This window comes from Homo sapiens, chromosome 2, assembly GCF_000001405.40.
Source record: "Homo sapiens chromosome 2, GRCh38.p14 Primary Assembly".
In the NCBI taxonomy this organism is placed as follows: Eukaryota; Metazoa; Chordata; class Mammalia; order Primates; family Hominidae; genus Homo; species Homo sapiens.
In genome coordinates, this window is record NC_000002.12 from 11,995,247 (window position 1) to 12,011,806 (window position 16,560).

The 16,560-nt window shown below is 40.0% G+C and overlaps 1 long non-coding RNA gene across 3 annotated transcripts in view, besides 5 other annotated features; it reads left to right on the forward strand.

The window, feature by feature from the left end:
• Positions 2,084-2,173: a silencer, noted in NCBI's record as "silent region_11180". NCBI's record gives its function as "represses an Ori minimal core promoter by ATAC-STARR-seq in GM12878 lymphoblastoid cells {active_cell/tissue: GM12878}" and the evidence as "EXISTENCE:reporter gene assay evidence [ECO:0000049][PMID:35858748]".
• Positions 3,927-3,976: an enhancer, noted in NCBI's record as "active region_15332". NCBI's record gives its function as "activates an Ori minimal core promoter by ATAC-STARR-seq in GM12878 lymphoblastoid cells {active_cell/tissue: GM12878}" and the evidence as "EXISTENCE:reporter gene assay evidence [ECO:0000049][PMID:35858748]".
• Positions 11,099-11,148: an enhancer, noted in NCBI's record as "active region_15333". NCBI's record gives its function as "activates an Ori minimal core promoter by ATAC-STARR-seq in GM12878 lymphoblastoid cells {active_cell/tissue: GM12878}" and the evidence as "EXISTENCE:reporter gene assay evidence [ECO:0000049][PMID:35858748]".
• Positions 11,657-11,951: an enhancer, noted in NCBI's record as "tiled region #524; HepG2 Activating non-DNase unmatched - State 7:EnhWF". NCBI's record gives its function as "activates a minimal TATA promoter and a strong SV40 promoter by Sharpr-MPRA in HepG2 cells {active_cell/tissue: HepG2}" and the evidence as "EXISTENCE:reporter gene assay evidence [ECO:0000049][PMID:27701403]".
• The window catches only part of MIR3681HG (MIR3681 host gene), a 571,233-nt gene continuing 566,542 nt past the window's right edge, over positions 11,870-16,560 (forward strand). For all 3 annotated transcript variants that reach the window (NR_110196.1, NR_110197.1, NR_110198.1), the window contains exons 1-2: positions 11,870-11,981; positions 12,501-12,597. This is a non-coding gene — a long non-coding RNA (MIR3681 host gene). The remainder of the gene's footprint in view (positions 11,982-12,500; positions 12,598-16,560) is intronic.
• Positions 13,383-13,432: an enhancer, noted in NCBI's record as "active region_15334". NCBI's record gives its function as "activates an Ori minimal core promoter by ATAC-STARR-seq in GM12878 lymphoblastoid cells {active_cell/tissue: GM12878}" and the evidence as "EXISTENCE:reporter gene assay evidence [ECO:0000049][PMID:35858748]".

The window sequence follows — 16,560 nt, forward strand, 5'->3', positions numbered from 1 at the left end:
ATATCACATTCTCTCAAGTCTATTGCTTTAATAGCCTGAGGAGTATTTGCTTCTGAGGATCATATATCAAATCACTTTCATTTTAGTAAGAATATCTTTCTTTCCTTGTAAAAAAAAAATACTGTGATTTACGTGCAGAAACTCTTGGAAATAAGTCTGTTTTCAATTCCAACAGTCTCCTCTTATAACATTTTCATTTCCAGTGTAGACTTCAAGTCCCCCAACTCTCACTGGAAGTTTTGCTTTCAGACACTCTCTGGAGCCACACTAGCTCAAGCTGGCTGTCTTCCACCAAAAAAATGCAGGCCTGAAGAACCTCCTCTTTGGGAATATTCTTGACCTCTCCTACATCTCCCATGAAGGTTCTGCATAATCCTACCTGACAGAGGAATCTTCCTTCCAACCCTGAGTTTTATATGCCTAAATTCTAACTTTAAGCACAAATATGTATAAAAACTTGAAAATTCCTTGTTGACATCTCATTTCCTGGCTGTGGTTATCATCCCTGAGGAAAGGAAATAGCAGAGCAAGTGTGAAAGAGAACCTTGCCAATATTTGTCAATAGAAAGACTCAAAGATCATCTTTCTGCAGTGGTGATACAGTAGTTCATGAACAAAACTTCTCATTAGTTTGCTTTTCTGGTTCACCAGAAAAATCTTTCCTGTTTCACACTTTTTAAATTATTTTATTCATTTATTTTTATTTATTTATTTATTTTGAGACAGAGTCTCGCTCTGTCGTCCAGGCTGGAGTGCAGTGGCGTGATCTTGGCTCACTGCAATCTCCACCTTCTGGGTTCACGTCATTCTCCTGCCTTACTTAGCCTCCCAAGTAGCTGGGACTACAGGCGCCCGCCACCACGCCCGGCTAATTTTTTTTATGTTTTTAGTAGAGACGGGGTTTCACCGTGTTAGCCAGGATGGTCTCGATCTCCTGACCTTGTGATCCGCCCGGCTCGGCCTCCCAAAGTGCTGGGATTACAAGCATGAGCCACTGCACCCAGTCTCCTGTTTCATCCTTTTAAATAAACATCTTTAGAAAATATTGCAGCCAAATTCACAACCAAATGGAACACTATGTTAAACAGAACTGATGTTGTTTTTTAATGATTGAATATCTTGACTTTAGGTTCTTACTGGAAACAACAGAAAAATTATCCAGGATAATGTGGGAGATCAGAGTAGCTGAACACCAATTAGAGTAGTACTTATTATGCTTTTTTCTATCTTAAAAATAGGGTGTTTCCCAGCCCTACCTCCTTTTCCCACAAAAAACCAACAAAATAAATAAACAAATAAACAAAGCCAGACATTTGTAGATTCTGGTTAATTGGGTTCCAAGGAATTCTGAACTCACAGAAATTTTGTGGGTAGTTACAGTTCTAGTTGATGGTGTGTTGGGGGGTGTTAGAGGGAGGGCAGGGGCCTTGATATTCATTGTATAACTTTGACCAAGTCATTCCAACTTTGAGCCTTGACAAGGAAATCATATCTGCCTCACAAATTTTTGTGTGCATCAAATGAGTTAATGGATATGAATTCACTCTAAGCCACAACTGGGCTATGCAGATGTTAGTCATTATTTTCAAAGAGCATATGTGACCTAGTTTTTATTGTGGCTTACTTATGGAGAGAAGAGCATTATAAATGCCTCTTGGCTTATTGGGAGCAAATCTAATCCAGTGACTTTAACTACCAATGATCACTTTAAAGGCAAATGCCTTGCTATAAAAGTAGGTGAACTCCATGGACTATTCATATTTTCTAAATTCTTATTTGCTAATTAATTATAAGTGGCATTTCCATGAGCACACTAAATGTTTAAAAATTCATTTAAGTAAAAATTATACTCTTCCTTAGAGCATCACCTCCAAACTCTCCCACTTTGGTCAGCTAGAGAAGGAAAACACTTCTTGGAATTTTTTCATGTGATATGGTTTGACAGTGTCCCCACCCAAATCTCATGTTGAAGTGTAGCTCCCATAATTCCCACATGTTGTGGGAGGGACCCAGTGGGAGATAATTGAATCATGGGGGTGGTTTCCCCCATACTGTTCTTGCCATAGTGAATAAGTCTCACAAGAGCAGATGATTTTATAAGGGGTTTCCCCTTTCACTTGTTTCTCACTACTCTCTTGTCTGCTACCAAGTAAGATGTGCCTTTCACCTTCCATCATGATTCTGAGGCTTCCCTAGCCACTTGGAAGTGTGAATCCATTAAATGTCTTTTTTTTTTATAAATTATATCTTTATCTGTGGCATGAAAATGGACTAATACACCATGCTGTAACATTTCCATTGTTTGTAAGGAACTTGTTTTTGTTATTTACACATTGTTTCTCAAACAATTTTTTAAATAGTTCTTCTGATATGTGTATTTTGCCATTAGGTTATTTTACATGAGAGAATTTTTACTGCCCAATTACCCTATGGAAGTGAGGATTTATAAAGCAAGAAAGTAACCTCTGGTTCATAATTTTGTATATGAGATGGAATTCTTCAAGATTACTTCACTTTTTCTTCCCCAAATTGTCCATCCCACCATCTTATCAGGCAATCACTGTGTGGCTTCCTGGTTCAGTGAATATTTTGTTAGAATTCAGAGAAAACTTGTGTGCTCTGGAAAAAAAAAAAAAGGGCGTGGGACTGGGTTGCAGGAGAACTGGGTTCCAGTTGTGGTCCTGCCGTGAATGAACTCTAACGTGTTGCCATCATCCCTAGCACTCCCTGGGCTTCAACTTACACATCTGAAAAATAAGTGGTTGAAGTAGATCTCCTCCAAGATTTGTTTCAAATTCGAATTTTCTATAATTAGCAAGTATATGGTATATTGAGAGAATATGAACTTCAAAGCCCAGCAGACGTGGGATCTGTATGACTGGGGAAGTTACTATAACTCTTTAAGCTGTAGTATTCTTTGTCTGTAAAATGGGGATGATCATATTCACCTCAAAATTATGAGGATTAAATGGGCCTATGTATATAAAATACTGTAACATAGAATAGAGATAATAAATGTTATTTACCATCTCCTCTTGCCATTATCTACTAAACAATCCCTGCCCAAACCATGTAGAAACAGAATAAGAAACTTCAGACATATTTTGCAGTGAAGCAGGAAACCTATCAGATGACGTGGCCACTTTCTCTTGTAAACCCACTGAGGGTGTGGGGCTGGAATGCAGCTGCCAACATGTCTGGTTCCTTTCTAGCTCTGAGCATCACCAGTACTTAAAGGGACTTTTCATGTAGCATCACTCAAATCTTCAAAGCTCATTTCAGAGAACATTGAGGATGCATTTTCTGACAAAGGACACTGGGAACATATGAAGTAATGACAGCCTGCGAGATGTAGTAAATATAGACAATAAAATACCAGAACTTCTAGGACTTTTGGTGACTTTTTTAGACAATGAAGCAGGAGAACATTAGAAGTTGGGACTGATCCAGGAATGCAGAGATGTGGCCATCACACCTAGATGGTTTTCTTCCCTACGATCATAATAATGTTTGTGGGAACTTGATTTCAGTATACCATGAAGAGATCAGAAATGACAGCTGCTTTTGGAATGCTGACCTCACCAAAATTCCATTTTGTTTCCTCCCAAATTTCCTAACCAAACAGTGCAGAATCTCAATACCCTGTATTCTTCACAGAGGAGAAGCTTGACACACAGTTCAGTGGTGGTGGTTGGTGTGCAGGCCAGGGGGATGAAATGAAATTTAATTGTGGGAAATGCAAAACTCTTGTATTTAAGTAAAAATATAAAAATTAATCCATTGTGCCAGTGTAGCTTGGCAGGCTTGGGGTTTGGTGAAGAGAAGTAGTTAAATTTGTGTCTCAGTGGTTTGAGATGACTATGTGCTCTCTATACACAAACCATGTGACAAGGCTACCAAAACAGCAAATTCAAAAGTAAGTTGCTTTATTTAAAAAATTGTGGTTTTTTTTTTTTTTTTTAGAAGAAATGTTATTTCTTGTGTGATTTGCATGCCCAAGGGCCTAACTTGAGTGTTGTGTTCCAATTGTAATGGCTACAGTTTAAAACGAAATAGGTCTTACTAACCTGGACCATTGAGGCTTTACCCACGCTGGGTGGGTGGTCACTTTGGGATGCCTTTTCCTATCCGTCCCTTGGGGAATTGCTGCTCCTCCCTCAAGACCTTCAAGGACATCTACACATCTTGTGTTTTGTACTACAGAACATGCTGTAGATTAATCCATACCAGTCATTTACAGGCAATACCTCTCTGAGCCATAGATTCCCTTGGGGCATGGACTGTGTCTTACTCAACTTGGCATCCCTCTTGGCTGGATAAGATGGTAATGGTAATTAGTGCTGTATGCCCATTTGTTGAATAGATATATTGGTGAGAAGCTTTGCAAAAGTATTTAATTATTTATCTTTTGTTTGACAAATATTTTTATTGCGCTTTTATGTTGGGATACCAAAGTAGATCTTGCACAGATCCTGTCTCAAGCAGTTCTCAATCTGGCTGAATTCTCTCACATGAAGAGTGGCTGAAGAAATCAGGAATATTTAGCCAGGGTACAAAAGTCTTAGGAAGAGCTTGGCCATGTCTCCTGACATTTACAGAGCCAGGTTGGGGGTATATTCAGCTTGTGCAACTCCAGAGGGCAAAAATAGGTGGGATTTTGAGGGAGGAAGATTTCTAATAATAACAGGAGCCCAGGGATGAAATGGTTTGTTTTCAAAAATGGCAAACTCTGCCCAGTGGCCATGTTAGTGGCTGATGCCTGTGATGTTCATCTGAGCAGAGGGGATGTCTGTGAGGAAAGAAAATGAGAGCTAAGTTCTGAGTTCCTCTTTGGTCCTAAAGAGCTGCTCTTTTCCCTGCCAAAGTGGTTTCCAAAGTTTCACCAGATAGACATTTGGTCCCAGGCTCTTAGCCTTTTCTGCTAAGAATAAAGCCAAAAGGCAAAATGGAATATAAGGTCTATATGTTGAGATAGACTTAGAGGGGCTGCCATAATGTGATCCAAGGAAGAGTTCAGTGGCCTGCTGGGAATGGTCATGGCATCACCACATCTGTTTTTGCTCCTATGGTAGACATCAATCTAATGGAGATGAAGCTTTATATGTGGACACAGCATCCTAAACTTGGCACACTCCAGCCATTACTAGGAGTCTTATTGATACACTGGAGCAGAGAATATAATTTCTGAGTGAAATTTCTCAAATTTAGCTGTTAATCTCTGTAGGGAGAAGATGTAAAAGAGCTATCCCAAAGTTTAAATGTTTCTAGAAACATTAAGCATCTATTCTTTTGTTTATTCAAAGGCATGTATTGAAAATAGTTATTAATTTCCATGTTTCAGAAAGCCTATCAAACATTTAAAATAGGTAATTCAATTCTGATAACAATCCTGTAAGATAGGTCCTATTATTCAGCCTGTTTTACAGAAGAAGGAACTCAGATGTCAGAGGGGTTGAATAATTTGCCCAAGGTTACAGTGCTGTACGGTATGGAATGAGAATGCAGGCAATCAGGTTCTAGAGCTTTTGGATAAGGGACAGCTAAGGAGAACTGGACAAGGTTGTGCCTTTATTCAACCAAATTTTTCATGTGCCATTCTAGGCCCTACACTAGGAGCTGGGGACACATATGGAAGTCACAGTCCTAGTCCTTAAAGAGCTCATGGTTTGAAGGGGAGCTAGGGAAGTAGTAGTGATAGTATTATTGGGAATACACTTGAGGGTAGGATGAGGGAAGGATGGCAATAGATGCAAAGGGATTCCATGCAGAAGAGACAATTGGAGTCAGGAAAAGCACAACAAAGTGTAGGTTGGATGGTAGTGGAGCGAAGTGGTGGCGGGTGAGAAAGGGTGGCTTACAAACAACTCCCAGCCTTGTAGGAGACAGAAGATGGGTTTCATAATAATTATATGACAATTTCAGAAGAAATGAGATGAAGTGCTCTCTGGGACTTTCAAGGACAGTAAGATCATTTCCGGCTGGGGATAAGCATGGGGAGGCTTCCTGGAAAAGATGGTATCTGAGGTGGGTCTTGAGGGATGAGGAGGATTTGGACAAGTTTAGACAAAAATCATAAGGGTGGCAAGTAGAGTGTCAGATATGAATAAAAAGACTTAAATAAAACCAGGAATTATAAACAGCTCATTTTTCCAATGTCTTATTTCATGAAGAGAGAACATTTTTCCATTTGGGTTTGACATCTACCTACAACAAAAGAATCTCCTGGAGTATTTGTAATCCATGTATATTGGTGTGAATTTCTACCATTTCTCAATTTGCCAAAGAGAGTTGACTTATGCAGGGTACCTGATTATCTTGTGTTGGATGCTTTTTGGTGTCCAGAGTTATGAAAAAAATTCTCACTCAATATTTGGATGCTCTTTAAAGAATGCCAAGTATGTCACGGAGATTGGATCTCTGCATTTGATTACAAAATTTAGTAACCAAAATAGAGTGAATGGAGAAGAGTAGGCTGGGAGCAATGGTGATTAGGGAGTGATACAATTCAGCATTAATAGAGTTTGGCCCCCTATGATTGAGAAAGAGTGATTCTTGGCTTTCACATTTATGAGGTTTCACCATTTTGGAGTTTCCCCAAAATCTAAGATATATTATTTATGACATGAGCAAATGAATGAATGAAGACATACATGAACAGACTCTTTTGGGGCTTCAAATAACTATAGAATTGGAATAAGAGTCCACTGGCCCAGTGGGGCTGAAAGTGAGGACAGTTGACTGCCTCCTGGATGATTGGGCAGATTTACAGACACCCTTCACCTCATCCTTGACCTCAGGACCTTCTGTTCACTCTGTTTCCTCCTGCCCTTTCTCTTCACCTTCCTTACTTCCCTTCCTCTTCCTGTTGTGGTCTTTTTACCTTCCGCAACTGTCAGGAAACTGTTTGGAAGGGTATGTTCTGTTAGCACCTCTTGTAACTTTAGTCTGATTACACATTGAGGCATTTCACAGATTATCCAAAAGGAGATTGAATGAATTAAGTTGCGTTGTAGGGACCTGTTAGCTTTTTAATCTCTGCTCCAAGATTATAAGAGTATAGGAATTACGTATTAGTATAGGAATGGGTCACTGTCTGTCTGTCTATCTATCTATCTATCTATCTATCTATCTATCTATCTATCCATCTATCCATCTATCAGTCTATCTATTCATGCATCCTATCTATCATCTTATCTATCACCTATCTATCCATCTATCTAATATATCCATCCATCTGTCTGTCTATGTATCTATCTATATGCACACATTAAATATACATGTTAGGTTATCTCTATATGTCAACTGTATCTAATGTACATACTGCAATGAACTAAACGTTTATGTCCTCTCAAAATTCATATGTTGAAATCCTAACCCCCAAGGTAATGGTATTAGGAGGTGAGGCCTTTGGGAGGTGATTAGGTCATGAGGGTGGAGTCTTATGAATGGAATTAATGCCTTTATAAAATAGGCTCATGGGAGCCCGTTCACCCCTCCCACCATGTGAGGACACAGCAAGAAGGCACTGCCTGTGAGAGAGAAAGTAGACCCTCACCAGACACCAACTCTGCCTTGATTTTGGACTTCCCAGTCTTGAGAGCTGTGAGAATAAATTTCTGTTGTTTATAAGCCACCCAGTCTATGATATTTTGTTAAAGCAGCCCAAATGGACTAAGACACTTAGACACACACACAAACCCACACACACACAAATACACACCACACATTAGTTTATAGACAGATAATAGTTATCTTGACTACCACTGAGAACCTTTTATGTGCCAGTCACTTTGCTGGCTCTGAACGTTTCTCACTCTCAACCCCTACATTCCCACTGTAAGATAAAGAAACTCAACAGTATTAAGAGTTTACAGTAAACGACCGAATTGGATTTGAACCTGAGTTGGTTTGGTTTTGAAGTCTGTGATCTTCCCACCAAACCACCAAACTTGTGTTCCATAAGGACCCTGGGTGGGAAAAAGGAATGCGTGGACATTTCTCCTCCCAGTGCTGTGGGTCCCAGCTGCCCAGTGTCTTAAAAAGGCCCTGCTGCAGGGACAGGATGCTGAGATTCCAGTCCTCACTGAGACTGAATTGCCATGTGAACCAGTGTGAGCTCCTCACCTCTCTGAGCTTTGCAAATAGTATCATGAGATAAAACTCTACTCATGGGCCCTTCTAACTCTCACATACCAGGCTTTTGTTTTATTCAGAAACATCTCCTTTACTAACAGGCAAGCCACGGAGTCAGTCAAATAATACACGAGTGTGTATATTCACTAAGAAGAATGCAATTCCTTGCTCATGCATGTAAGTTGCACTCCAAAAATAACTGAATCAGACAGTTTTGATGGCTATGAAACTGGTGCCTGAGGAATTTTGGAGAGTTTTCCATTTGCTGGAGGTAGAAAAGGTCATTATTTATTTTCTCTCACAAGCCAGATCAATGAGCCCTTCTTAATCCTTGGACTGGTTTTCTGGCATTTTTCAATACCCAGAAACACATAAAATATGTTATTTGAGAAATTTAGCAGGCGTGTTTCAAAGTTAGGTGAAACTAATTTAGAATAAGATATCTTTGTTTATTTTGAAACATAACTGGAACTTGGAGAAACATAAGTTATTTTGAATTTAAGGGTTTGAATGATATTCCTGTGCCCCAGACCAACAAGTTCTTTTCTATTTTAAAGATACTTTTTGCTGAAGGATAGGATTTTGAGCATGTAAAATTTGAATATGAAAGAAGCCTCTAATTTTTACCCCAGTTCAAATTATTGACTGTGATAGGCCCAGAAAAGATGGAATTGATAAAAATAGCAAATTGCTGTTTTTATATTTCAGAAGAAACAAACAGATTTTTGATAACTGTTTCTTAGAAAGAGTTGGAATGGGCTGGGCACAGTGGCTCACACTTGTAATCCCAGCACTTTGGGAGGCCGAGGCAGGCGGATCATTTGAGGTCAGGAGTTTGAGACCAGCTTGGCCAATGTGGTGAATCCTCAACTCTACTAAAAATACAAAAAAATTAGCCGGGCATGGTAGCACATGCCTGTAATCTCAGCTACTTGGGAGGCCGAGGCAGGAGAATCACTTGAACCTGGAAAGCGGAGGTTGCAGTGAGCCAAGATCGGGCCACTGCACTCCAGCCTGGGTGACAGAGTGAGACTCTGTCTCAAAAAAAAAAAAAAAAAAAAAAAAAGAGTTGGAACATCCCACTGCATGCAGCCTTGCGCATAGTTACAAAAACACCGCCAGAGTTATAATTTCTGGATGACAAGTCTATTTGGTTTCTGTGGTAAATTTAAGATTCCTGCAGAATCTTAAATGCAATATTAACAAAACTCATAACCACTGTCGACTTCTCATTATTAAAGTGTTATCTTTTAATTGTATAAAACTTGGAAACTGTATTTAATGTGGTGTCCATGATAGGACTGAATAGCAGAGACTTTGAGAAAAACATCCAGGTCAGACTGCTTTGGGATTATACTTTGGGGAATTTGGGATGAGACCGTAGGCTGGTGGATAGGGAAGGGGTTTGTCACTGAGCGAATGTTTCAGTCCTTGATGTAAACCTTAGAGAAGGAAATGAGGGCTCATGAGATGGACCTTACTCATGTTTTATAGGTAAATTCTTCTAGAACAAACTCCCTGGGGTTGGCAGTCAGCCTGGCCCTCATTGAGGCCTGGTGAAGCCTGATGTGGATTCGTAGTGAGTAACTTGCCACTGTCCCGTAGGGTCAGGATGGAAGCCAGGCACCTGGGACCTGGGCTGGGAAGGGATGCCCAGGTGAGTCTGGACCTGGGGAGCAATAATTGCAAATGATTCTGTCCACGTAATTTTCCGTCCATTGTCCCAGAATGCTCCATGTCTTTTGTATGTTACAATCTAGGTTTCTCGGTGGTGGTAGACGTGATGGTAGTGCTATTAGTGGTAACGATATTGACAATAATAAAACACTTTTAAAGTGCTTATGAATATTTCTGGTACTATTCTGAATACTAAATGATAATGTATTTTGTCCTCACAATGCCCTTGTGAATGAGGAACTAATATTTTCCTGATTTTACAGGTTAGAAAATGAAGGGACAGAGAGGTTTCCTTTTTTTTTGACTAATTTCCTTAGAAAGGAAGTATATTACTTTGCTAGGGCTGCCATAACAAAATACCACTGACTGGGCGGCTGCAACAACAGAAATTTATTTTCTTGCAGAAAGGCGGCTGACAGTCCAAGATCAAGGTGCCAGCAGGGCTGGTTTTTCCTGAGACCTACTTCCTTGGTTTGTAGATGGCCATCTTATTGCTGTGTCTTCACATGGTCTTGTCTCAGAGGCATGCATGTCTCCAGCCAAATGTCCTCTTCTTGTAAGGACACCAGCCCTATTGGACTAGGACCCCACACTTATAACCTTAACTAAGCCTGTAAAGGCTCTGTCTTCAAATACAGTCACATTAGGGGCTAGAACTTTGACATGTGAATTTCATATCATAAATACAGAGAAGTGCAATTTGGTGGTAATAGCTAAGATGAATAGGAATTCTGATATGATTTTGAGACACATTCTCACTTAAAGTCTCAGCATATAAATAAAGTTTAATCACCTTGAAGATCAGACAGCTTCTTAAATATAATGATCCATTCTCAATTACCTATTAGTGGGAGGCCACGATAATAGAGAACTGAATTCCAAATATAATTAAAAATATTCGTGTCACTGCTTAGATGCCATCTCTTTCTTTACCAAACTTAAAAAAAGAAAAGTCTCTCCCCTAGAGCTCTTAAACCACATGATTCAGCTACTAACCGAAGCTCACCCTTTTGGATTTCCCCTGCTGTACTGTGGTCGAGGTGCTAATTAGCAGGGAAAGTGCCAAATGGCAGGCAGCCAGAGGAAAAGCAGAGAAGCTGAAAGACCTGCACAAACTGCAGGTTTGTGAGTTGCAAAATTGAGATATGCCTCTAATGAGTTATGTATTAAAGCCCCTCTGCCCCATGACAGCAACGTCACCCTGGCAGAGACCTCCAGTTTCCTTACCTGGTAAACGGGGATTATAATAATACCACATTCCCAGGCTTGCAGGGTATTAGACCAAATCAGCTAAGAGCAGCAGACTAAGAAACTGGTCTTTATTGAGCATATATTTTATGTCAGACACTTGGCAACATGATTCATTTAATTCTCACATTGATTCTATAAGGTAGGCATGGCTAGCTCCATTTTGTGGATGGGTAAACTGAGGCTGGAGAAACTTGCCAAGTGTCACATACCAATTACACTTGAACCTCACTCCAAAGGCTTTGCTCCTTCTACTGACCCGTGTTGCAGAAATGCCTGGCCTTTTGTGAGCACTCGGTAAATGTCTGTCATTGTTGGAGAGAAAAGGAAAAAAATTATCTCCTTGCTATGAATTTAAACAATATATTTTAAAGCTGCTGGGAGCCTTTTTGTCCTGGTTTTCTGCATCTGATTTACCTGTCCCATTTTAACCATTCATGTGAACATTGTTATGTAACTAGCACATGCTTTTACTGTGTATAACTTAGTGTTACATAAATCTAAAGGCTGCTGACTGCTAGCAATCTTTTAAATGTAATGAGCTGAAAGATTTGCTTTGAGCCTTGGGGCAGGATAGCTTTGGCTTAACCATTTGCTGAGTTCAGCTTTTAGGAGGATAAGTTTACTGCATCCCTTCAATAATCCAACTGAAGCCTGGATTCCAAGCAACTGTAGATGAGATTTAAGTCTCCAAGAATGTTAGAAACTTAAATAAAACAAGGCTTAAGCAGAAAGTCCTCACAATGGTGTCCACATTCCATCAGGATGACGTAATCGAAGGTTGGAACCAGGCGGCCTCTGCCTTTGTGTTCCGGGACCCCTCACTCAGTGCAGAGGGAAATTGACACAGCCATGATGAGGCCTGGCTCACAAGAGCCATAGTTACTGTAGGAGTTTCTGTGGCTAAATATGCTTAGCTATTGGTGGGTTTCTCAGCTATGACAATGGTCTCCGTAAAAACACAGAACAAAAATTTTTGGTTAATTGAGGTCAAATTTTGTGTTAAAGGAGGGTTAATTTCCCTCCCCTCTAAGAGAAGAGTCTCTATGTGTTTAAAAACATGTTAACATTTAGTCTTGTCTGTTTTGTTGATCAGTTGAAGTCAGAGCAATAAAATCCCAGGGGTGGAAAGGGTGCAAAGGGCCATTGGGTTCATTTCCCTCATTTGGAAGCCAAACACATGCAGGTGATGATCACACTGTCCTTGAGCTGGGTGCAGAGATCAGCTCTGCCACATGCTGTTTGTTAATTTAATAAGATGAAGTGTGGGACCCAGGCTGAGTTCCTCAACACATTTTTTCATCTGTAAAATGGGGATTATAAAAAATAATAGTACCTACCTTAAAGGGCTAGGCACAGAGCCGTAGATGAGTTAACATGTGTTTTGAACAGATCTGGGTATACTGTGGTGTGAAACATTTGCAATTCTTCTTATATTACAGAGGCAAGGACATGTGCTGGATGTGTATGCAGTCTTTGAAGCTGGAGAGGCCTGTGTTGGAAACTGTGCTCTGTCCCATGCCAGTTCCCTGACCTTGGGTAAGTCACATAAAGTGTGAGTCTTTTATTTTTTTCTAGAGTGGAAATGGGGCTATGAATTCCTAACACTGGTAGGATTATAAGGAAAAGGACAAGATTAAAGTAAACAATACATTATAAGCATGGTGGCTAGCACATGGCTAGTCTTCTCAATGAATATTTTTTAGAAAATATAAAAAGGATGAATATCGGATATCTTAGTAACTCCTTTAGCTTTAAGCACACATCTCTACACACAGCCACATACAAACGTATTGGCTACACATTGGACTCCTTTTTTTTTTTTTTTTTTGAGACAGGGTCTTGCTCTGTTGCTGAGGCTGGAATGCAATGGCACAAACATGGCTCGCTGCAGCCATGACCTCCCGGGCTCCTGATTCTCCCACTTCAGTCTCCTGAGTAGCTGTGATGACAGGTGCATGCCACCACACCTGGCTAGTTTTTTAATTTTTTGTAGAGATAGGGTCTTGCCATGTTGCCCAGGCTGCACATTTAACTACTTTTACTTTTTCCTTCTTAACTTCTTGACATATGGTAGAGAACACAACCTAAAGTCACCAAATAGGTGAAAAATCTAGATTTCCTTTTTTTTTTTTAAATTTTGTTTTTGACCCATTTCCTTAGAAAGGAAGTATATTCGTTTGTTAGGGTGGCCATAACAAAATACTATAGACGGGGTGGATTCAACAACAGAAATTTATTTTTGGCTAAAAATCCAAGATCGAGGATTGCATCTTTCCAATTTCTGGCAGGGCTGGTTCCTGCTTGGTTTGTAGACAGCCATCTTATTGCTGTGTCTTCCCATGGTCTTGTCTTTGTGGGCATGCATGTCTGTACCCAAATCTCTTCTTATAAGGACATCAGTCCTAGCAGACTAGGACCCCACACTAATAACCTTCATTAACTCTGTGAAGGCCCTGTCTCCAAACACAGTCACATTGGGGGTTAAGGCTTTGACATATGAATTTTGGGGACATAATTCATTTCATAAAAGAAAGATATCACTTTCTGCTTCCTCATTCATGTTGACTCATTCAGAGAAAATTTGTGGTATATTTACCATCTGCAAGCCACAGAAAGGCCTCAGAAGAAACCGGCCGTGCTGACACTTTGATGGTGGACTTGTAGCCTCCAGAATTGTAAGAAAATACATTTTCTTTTGGTTTAATCCAACCAGTCTATGGTGCTTGTGGCAACACTAGAAAACGAATATACTCCTCTATCTGGATAATAAACACTATACTTAAAACATTTGAATATCTGCTGTGTTCCAAGCGGTTGATATTTTGAATATTTTTATAATATTTCTGAATCTGTTGATCCTATTATCTGCATTTCAAAGATGATCAGTTGAAATTTGAACCTCAAAGTCTTGCTGTATGTATTCTTTCATACTTTGATCATAAATCATGAATCTCAAAAATCATAAATCTGAGTTTTCTGCCTTTCATTGATCTGTATGACTTCTCTCTGATCCCTGTAAATATTTTCTCTAATTAGCAATAGAATGTAGACTGCATCCAGTACTAGGAAGAGAACAGTTATGTTGGAGCTAGTGAGAGGATCCCCTGGGACTTCTGGGACCTGTTTTGCCACAGAGACATCATAGACTTTCATTTGCTTTGGAACATACATTTGCAGCCAGAATTTATGCAACAGGTGTACTCCTGAAAATGTTGTATATAAATCAATTTGTTGGCAGTGGGAAAACATATTGGATGCAATAGAACTTACTCTTTAACTGAAACATACAAATCCATTTTTTAAAAATTTAATTTGATGAATTAATAATTCACCCTGTTTAACTTTGTATGAATCAGCATTTTCCTATATTGGTCTCTGTGGTCAGCTCATGGTGAATTTTTACATGTGGGATAATCTCATCTCCTCCCAGTCCCTCTCTCTCTGCCTCCAGTCTCCTCACACCCTTTCCTCTGACCTCAGACAAGTCAATGGGTTTTTTGTTGGTTTGTTTGTTTGTTTTTTAACCCTGCATAGATCATTGGCTGGATGAGGATCAGACAAGATCGTGAACATAAACGCACTTTGAAATCTACGAGGTGCAGATTGTTATTATTATACTAGCAGGAGGGATGCAGTTTATTATTTCCCCTAGGAGACATTCTTTATTTCTATTTGTTAAGCCTGATTATTGTAGCTCTTGACCATGTCTTTGTAACTTAATAACTAGATCAAAATAAGCTCCTGGAAATGGATCTTTTTTGGCACAGGCTGGGAATAGAGAAGCTTTTTAATAAATTCTTGCTGATACAGGGACTTTGGGGCAATGGCAGTTAGATGAAGGTGGGTTGCAAAATCTCTCTCAATGACCAGCTGAGGGAACACAAGCTGTAAAAGCTAAGAAAGATTCACCAGTAGCAAAGCAATCAAAGAAACAGGTAAAAAGTGATGTCATACACTTTGATAGGCAGGTCTCATGAAGGAAATAGAAGATTCTTGGCACAGCTTGGCATAGGACTGACCCTCCTAACCCTCAGGAAGTCATACAGAAGGAAGGTGATTTAAAAAAAATTATATACTTTCCCATCAGTACTACTAGATTTAAAGAGAAGCAGAATTTGGGGGTCTTAAGATAAATCCCGCCTGATGGGAGATGTTAGAAGGCTTCTCTCTGCCAGCAGCTCTTGGTTGGGGGATAGTTTTCTGGAAGAATCTTTTGACACATTCAAATGTGATATCCAAATGCTTGGCACATGTTATGAGAATCTGAAGTGGGGAAAAAAAAAACAAACCACCAAACTGGATCTATTGAAACTTCAGGGGGCGCACATCAGAAGCAAATGCAAAACTGCTCATGGGACCCAGTGTTCAAAATAGACACTTTTGGAATCTGTTGAGCCTTGCTTGATGGCTTAGTAGCTGATAAATCTGTGTAACTCTTCCCTATGTGCGAGGGAGCAAGTGTATTTTGCCTCTTTTCCCCCCATTTCTGCTTTGCTATGCACTTTCCCGAGCTAGGCATACCTGTCTGGATTTCTAGTTTCCTTTCTCCAAATTTCAGAGGTACGTGCTTGTACACGTGCACGTGTACATTTAAAACAAAAATAGTTTCTCTTTGTTCTCTGTTAGAATTCCTCATTACTCATTAACTTCTGTGTGATGATTCTTCTAAGCAGATCCAAAGGATTGTTGGTAAAAGTGCCTTTGTAGGTCATTTTAACTCAGGGATGGCACCTGTTTGGGTGTCTCCATGCCCAGCTGAAGGCCTATGAAATCTGTTAGCTATCTGATCTGCTTTCTCCACATGAAGCTGGTTTTTATTTTGATACTTGCTGTTACCATAGTAAGCCTGGATAGCTCTGTAATGAAGAAGAATTCTGAAAGATGAGGACTGCTTTCTCTGACTTTTTGACTTGTCATAGGGGCCAAGTGCAGCTCACCCTGGCCTGTTTGTGATTCCCAGGAATTGGCATGGACCAGTTCAAATCTGCAGGTGGAGGACCTCTGGGGAGGATGACTCAGAGACAGGGGTTCCAGGTCCACTACCTCTCCTAGTGCAGGGGTTCTCTTTCAGGACTCACACAAAGCCTTGGGATTTGGTTTCTGTAGGAAATTTCTTTTTCTTTCCAGATTACTCATCCCTGAAGGGTACCATCTAGGACTTCTGGTGAGGAGTCACCTGATAACTGTTGGATGTTTCCTTTGCCTTCAACTGTTCAATATCTCATTAAATCCTCCTGATAGTCAGCAAAAGTGGGCTCAGGGACATGAGAAATGCAGCCATGATCAGTGACAATGCTGAAAAACATCAAACCTAAGCCTGTGCTCTTTTCACCTTGCTGTGTGGTGTCAGGCTGTAACCTGAGGTCAACACTGTGCTAGTGTTCATTGGATGGTTGATGATACTGAGGGTAGTAGTGTAAAGAGGATGGAATATTACGGATTTCTTGAGTGAGAATGAGGCTCTGCTTAGCAAATTGGAGAGTGCTACATTCAGAAGAA